The sequence below is a fragment of the Homo sapiens genome, chromosome 11 (assembly GCF_000001405.40).
Source record: "Homo sapiens chromosome 11, GRCh38.p14 Primary Assembly".
In the NCBI taxonomy this organism is placed as follows: Eukaryota; Metazoa; Chordata; class Mammalia; order Primates; family Hominidae; genus Homo; species Homo sapiens.
In genome coordinates this window covers 102732266-102739471 of record NC_000011.10, presented here as the reverse complement: position 1 = coordinate 102739471, position 7206 = coordinate 102732266, and the positions used below count along the sequence as shown (strand labels likewise).

Genomic DNA, 7206 nt, shown 5'->3' with positions numbered 1-7206 from the left:
GATAAAAAATCAACATACAAATATCGACAGCATTTCTATATGTGAACTGCAAACAATCTAAAAAAGAAATCAAGAAAGCAATCCCATTTACAATAGCTACAAATAAAATAAAATATCTAGAAATAAACTTAATCGAATAAGTGAAAAATCTCTACAATGAAAACCATGAAACATTTATGCAAGAAATTGAGAAGGACACCAAATAATGGAAAGATATTTCATGTTCATGGATTGGAAGAATCCACATCATTAAAATATCCTTGCTACCCAAAGCAATCTACAGATTTAACGTAATTCCTGTCAAAATGCCAATGACATTCTTCACAGAAATAGAAAAAGCAATATTAAATTTATACAAAGCCATAAAATACCCAGAGTAGCCAAAGCTATCCTGAGCAAAAAGAACAAAAATGGAAGAATCACATTACCTGACTTCAAATTATACTACACACTATGGTAAACAAAACAGCATGGTACTGGCATAAAAACAGACACATAGACTAATGGAACAAAATAAAGAATCCAGAAGTAAATCCATGAATCTACAGTAAACTTGCTTTTGACAAAGGTGCCAAGAACATACACTGGGGAAAGATAGGGGTCTAGTTTCATTCCTCTGCATATGGATATTCAGTTTTTTCAACAACATTTATTGAAGAGACTATCTCTTCCCCCATGTATGTTCTTAGCATATTTGTTGAAAATGGTTCATTGTAGCTGTGTGGATTTATTTGTATTTCTGGGCTATTTTATTCCATTCGTCTATGTGTCTGTTTTTATGCCAGTATCATGCTGTTTTGGTTACTATAGTTCTGTAGTATAATTTGAAGTCAGGTAATGTGATTCCTCCAGTTTTGCTCTTTTTGCTTAGGATAGCTTTGGCTATTCTGGGTTTTGTGTGTGTGGTTCCAAATAAATTCTAGGATTTTTTTTTCTATTTCTGTGAAGAATGTCATTGTTGTGTTCATAGGGACTGTATTGAATCTGTAGATTGCTTTAGGTAGTACGGACATTTTAACAATATTGACTATTCCAATCAATGAACATGGAATATTTTTCCATTTCTTGGTGTCCTCTTCAATTTCTTTCATCAGTGTTTTATGGTTTTCATTACAGAGATCTTTCAGTAATTCCTAGGATTTAGTTTTGTGACTACTGTACATAGGACTGCTTTTTCATTTCTTTTTCAGTTTGTTCACTGTCGTCCCACAGAAATGGTACTGAATTATGTATGTTGATTTTGCATCCTGCAACTTTACTGAATTTATCAGATCTAATAGTTTTTTGGTGGAGTCTTTAGATTTTTCCAAATATAAGATTAAATCATCTGCAAACAAGAATAATTCAACTTCTTCCTTTGCAACTTAGATACTCTATATCTTTTTCTTGTATGATTGCTCTAGCTAAGACTTCTGGTACCATGTTGAATAACAGTGGTGAAAGTGGGTATCCTTGTCATGTTCCAGATCTAAGAGAAAAGGCTTTCAGTTTTGCCCCATTCAGTATGGTACTAGCTGTGGGCCTGTCATTTTACTATTTATTGCCTGTCTTCCCCTGCTACAGTGGAAGCTCCATCAGGATGTGTGGCAGGGAGAGGGGTGGGGGATTTGCTATGTATTATTGTTTTGTCTGTTTATTTTACTAATATAATGCAAAATCCAAGTAAGTACTTAATAAAAGTTTTTAAATAAATTAACACAGAATTGATGCTGGATTCCAGAAAAGATGGAAAGTTAATAAAAAGGTATATAGTCAGTTTGACCAGCTCCTGAAAAATTTCTTGGCTTCGTCTTCATTAGTGCAGAGGCTAGAATATTACAGACATTGCAGCAGCCCCCAGAAATGCTCAGAGCCTAAGACCAAGTTTCTGATGGGTTCCTGGGGAGAAAATCCACCAATGAATATGAGAAATCAGAGTGGTTGTGTTTAGACTTTGCCAATAAGCACTCTGCCTTGAGATTTCAGGGAGACTGATAGTCCCATGGAAATATAAGATCTCAGGGGAAGTATGCATTTGTAATAACCATATCTGTCAAAGGACTTGTTTCATCCTGCTGAACTCATGACTGGAGTCGCCCCAAAAGTGGCAGCAAGGGAATTCCTGCAAGGAAGTGCCCAAGACTGTCTCCAGATGGGGCCAGCTGAGATTCCAAAGAAGGAAGCACTAAATGCCAGGGTGAGAAGGACAACACATTTATTAGGGGTATTTACTTACAGAGTTCTTTGGTGTATCCTCTCAAAGAACAATCACGGTAGAGGGGTGTCCTACATAGATATGTCTTCATCTAGGGGGTAATATGTCTATATGAGGATTTAAAGATTTGGTTCAGGGCCAGGGCCAGTTTCTTTCTAGTAAACCTAGATATCTTTATCACTACCAGGGAATTTTCAAGTTCCTGGTTTGGTTTCAAGACTGCTGGGAAAACCTTACAGCTGGCAAGGACACAGGGTGGTCAAGGCACTCTGATTTTTGGTCAGGACACAGAAAAAAAAAGTGAGGGGAACTGGGGAACCCTGCAGGAGTTTTATTCAGAATATATAAGAAATCTAACATATTAATAATAAAGTGACACATGCAATTAAAAATGCATGGGAGTTTTAATCAGACTCTTCACAAAGACATATATATGGCCAATAAACACATTTAAAAAGTACTTAACATTATTAGTTATCGAGAAAATAAAATTCTTATAAGGCACCACTAAAAAAAATCCACTAAAATCATTAATGTTAATAAGACTGACAACACCAAACATTGATGAGGAGCTAGAACATCTGGAAGGCTCATACAATATCAAATTGCTCACAGTTCAATATTTATTCACCCTATGACTTCTACATATTTGCCCAAGATAAATGAAAACATAAATACCCCAAAAAAGCTTGCTCAAGAATTCATAACAGCTTTATTCTTGATAGTCCAAATCTGAAAATAGTGGCATATTCATACAATAGAATATTACCACTAGTACTATATACAACAACATGGATTAAACTGAAAACCATTAAAATGTCTCTCTTATCCTAAGAGACATCATTCTAGGCAAAAGAAGCCAGGCACAGAAGCTAATATATACTTTTGATTCCATTATATGAACTTTAAGATTATAAAAAGTAATATATAGGAAATGAAATCAGAACAGTGATTGACACTGAGGAGGGACTGTGTTTGACCAAGAAAGAACTCAGAGAACTCAGATGATGGAAATGTTCTCTTCCTTCATGAGGTATGGGATACATTGGCTTATACATTTGTCAAAACTCACCGAACAGTGTAGTTAAGACTTGTGTACTTCACTATATGTCAATAGTATCTCAAAAATATATAAAGAAAAAAGAAATTAACAGCAAAAGGAAGTCTTAATTATTCTATAACTATAAAATAATGTTTAATGGTTTAAATATCTTCCCACAAAGAAAACATTAAGCTTAGATGGTTTTATTGGTTTGTTTTGCCAAAAGATCCATGTCAAGGAATAGATCATTCCAATCTTACACAAACTCTTTCAGAGAAAACAGAGGACATATTCCACCATCACCATATAGCACATAGGGAGCAACTTTAGGTACTTTCTTATTAATACTGGGAATAAGAGAAGGATGCCTGCTATCACTGATATTCGTTTAATATAGTCCTGGATATCCTGTCAAAAACTGAAATGAGGCCATGAACAGTGAATCATGCCTGTAATCCCAGCCCTTTGGGAGACTGAGGCAGGAGGATTGCTTGAGCCCAGGATTACAAGACCAGCCTGGGCAACATCAGTAAGACCTCATTACTACAAAAAAAAAAAAAAAAATTAAAATGAGGAAAATATCAACAGTTATAAAGATCAAAAGGGAAGAGTCCAAATTATAATTATTTGTAGATAATTTGATAATTTACATAGAAAACCTCAAAAGAATCAAAACTCTTAAGATGAGAAAAATTGTAATGTTTCCAAGTACATCAACACATCAAAATCATTTACATGTCTATATATGCACAATAAACAAGTAGATCAAACATAGAAAACAAAATATTAATAGCCACAGCAAAATCAATTACCTCTTTAGGAAATAACATAGCAAAAACAGAACAACCCCTTAAAAATGAGAATTTAAGACTCTATTACAGACATATAAGAAAAATAGAATATGATCTTCATGTATGGAATGACCTAATACTCTAAAGATGACAATTTTTCCAAAATTAATTTGTAAATGGGAAGCAATTTTAACTAAATTCCAATGGCAGTATTTGGGAAAGGAAAATTGATTGCAAGGCTTTTATTTATAAAAAAAAAAATACACACTAGGAGCTAAGAATTTTGACAAAGAACAAAGAAGGAGAGAGTCCCACCAAATATTAAGACATTTTACAAAACCTCTGTGACCCCAGTGGTGCAAAACTTACGCAGGAGCAGAGACATAAGCTAATGGAACTAAATACAAGTCCAGAAACATGCTTTTGGTATGATAGGGGTGGTACTACAAATTAGAAGAAAAAAAAGAATGAATCCTCAAATAGTTGTTTGGAGGCACTACATGGAAAAAATAAAGATGAATTCTGTATCCCAGCAAGTGCAAGTAACAGATACTCTTCACTGTGGAGTTCCAGCTACTGGGCACATGGAAGAATTATACTCCTTAGCCTCCTTGCAGTGGGATGGGACCACATGACTAGTTCTGGACTATGACTTGTGCTTGGTTCTGGGCTGGAACATTTCATTGCTTGTGCAAAACCCTTTAGAAATCTTTTTTCAACCAACATGACAGAGAGAATTCAAGATCACAGCTTCTCTGGAGGTCTGTGAAACTGGGTCACTGCCATACACAGAGGTCCTCTGTCAAACCATAATTGACACATAGCACAAGCAAGAAATAAATCTGAGCTGTCTTATAAGACTAAAGGATGCAGGGCCTATTACCAAAGTGTAATTTTGCTTATTCTTTCTGATGCAGACCATGCACAAAAGTATACTTTGAATTGGTTAAAGACTTCAATATGAAAGGTAGAACTAATTCAACAAAATACATAGGAGAATATTTTGACCATCATAATGTGGGGAAGAATATCTCAAATAACACCAAAAAAGCATAACTCATAACGGGCAAAGCTGATAGTTTTGATTACATTGAAATTAAAGAATTATATTAAATGAGAAACAGAGAAAGTGTCTGCAACATATGAAACTAAGGAAAGATTAATAGGTGGTTCAGAGAAGAAATTCTTTTAAATCAACATGAAAAAGGTAAGAAATCCAGTAGAAATGCAGGCATGGAAATAAGTTGGCTATTATTAGAAGGGGAAATCTGGGTAGCTGACAGCATATAAAGAGATATCCAATCTTACTAGTAATCAACGGAATACCAATGTAAAAAAGATACCTACTTATACCTACCAAAAATGGCAGAAATTAGAAGTTCTGGTTATATTAAGTGCTGATAAAAACATGGGGAATATGAACCCTTATTTACAGCGGGCAGAACTGTTAATTGGTGCAACCATTGTGAAGCAAAATCTGGCTGTATCATAAGAATACCTGTATTCTAACCCCAGTAGTCCCACTTGTAAGTATTCATTCTGACTGTGATCCCCAGGAGACTTGTAGGGCAGCCAATACAGAACTATTTGTGAGAGCGGGAAGCTAGCCACCGCCTGGATGGCCATTGTTGGTGAACTGACACTTAGAATGTGATAGCCCTTATCAAGTAAGCTAAAACTGCCACCCACAACCTGGCATTAAGATCTGTTAACAGAGGACAAAATAATGTGCTTAGGAACATTGTGACCACTGTGGAGTTTCTCATTCTGCATTCTCACCTAAAGCAAACTATTCATTTTAATGAGCTTTGGCCAAGTCTTTAATGTCCAGTTCTCCCACTAACCTACCTAGTTCAAAACCTGGGCTCATCCTTACTAAATGAGATAAATGGGATCTATTTGTTTTACATTCTTATTTCGAAGAAGACTGTTGATCTGACCGAACAGTTCACCCTCCGAATACCCCAGTGGACTTTGGCGCCCTCTGCTGGTTTTACAGGGGGCATGATGACCACTAGCATGGCTAAGAGTGACAGGTCTCAGCCATCCGTGACTTCATTGAAGGCCACTGGTTGCGTCTGCTATACACCAGCTTACTCTGGGAGCATTAAGCCATAGAAAAATATCTGGATGGAGACATTTCAAAATGTTAACATTGGTTACCTCTAGAAGAGGGGACTGAAGTAGGGGGAAAGGGGGTTAGAAAACTTCACATTTACTTACCGTACTTCTGAAAGTTTGGAATTTTTTTTTTAATAAGCATGTATTTTTGTATTACTAGACTATTTAAAAATAAGTGATTTTTAAAATAAAATAAATCGTTTGAACAACACTTTCTATATTGCTTTTCGTGCATTACCTCCTTAAAGCCCACGGCTTTGAAATAAGAACGTAAAACAATATAGCAATATAGAAAGTGCTCCTATCCTGTGAGGCTTTTTTTTATATTTAATTGCCAGAGAACTGTAATTTTTATCTGTTATTTTGCACTCTGTGTTAAACATTTTCTACACATCCATATTTAATCTTCACAACATTCCTATGATGTCAGGGCTATTGTTACCACCATTTTACACGCAAGGAATTAAAACTTAGGGATGTGAAGTGAACTGTGTCTAGGGTCCCACAGTAATAAGTGGCCAATTAGGGATGTGCAATTAAGACAGAGAGATGAAGGAACTTGTGCAAGGTCAAGCAAATGATAGAGTGGAGTCAAACCCAGGTCTTCGGATTTCCATTCCCCATGCTAAAGAGAAACAGGCTGTCTGTGAGTACCTCGGGCTTGTCACTTCAGGTTCCTCTGATGTTTGGTCCTGATGTATGAGGCAACCACATCTGTAGAATTTGGAGGAAGAAAGAGTCAGAAAGTTCCCATAATGACCTTAATGTGACATTTAAACTAAAGAAGCTACTCAGGCAGAAGGTCAACTCCAGTAGAAGACTTTGTGGAGACTGAACAGAAAGAGCCTTGGAATTAAACCAAACTTGGATTCCCAAATTCTGCCACACATTACACATCTGCCAGTGTGTGATCTCAGGTAATTCACTTAACCTTTCTGATCCTCAGTTTCTGTATTGCTTTTAAAAGACGTAATACCTAAGAAATTTACATAAAAGTGACTTTGCAAAAGCCTTTATGACAGTACCTCACTTCTAATGAGTATTCAGTAAATACTCAC

The 7206-nt window shown here is 35.9% G+C and overlaps 2 annotated features.

Moving 5' to 3' along the window:
• Positions 5927 to 5976: a silencer, noted in NCBI's record as "silent region_3866". NCBI's record gives its function as "represses an Ori minimal core promoter by ATAC-STARR-seq in GM12878 lymphoblastoid cells {active_cell/tissue: GM12878}" and the evidence as "EXISTENCE:reporter gene assay evidence [ECO:0000049][PMID:35858748]".
• Positions 6097 to 6146: a silencer, noted in NCBI's record as "silent region_3865". NCBI's record gives its function as "represses an Ori minimal core promoter by ATAC-STARR-seq in GM12878 lymphoblastoid cells {active_cell/tissue: GM12878}" and the evidence as "EXISTENCE:reporter gene assay evidence [ECO:0000049][PMID:35858748]".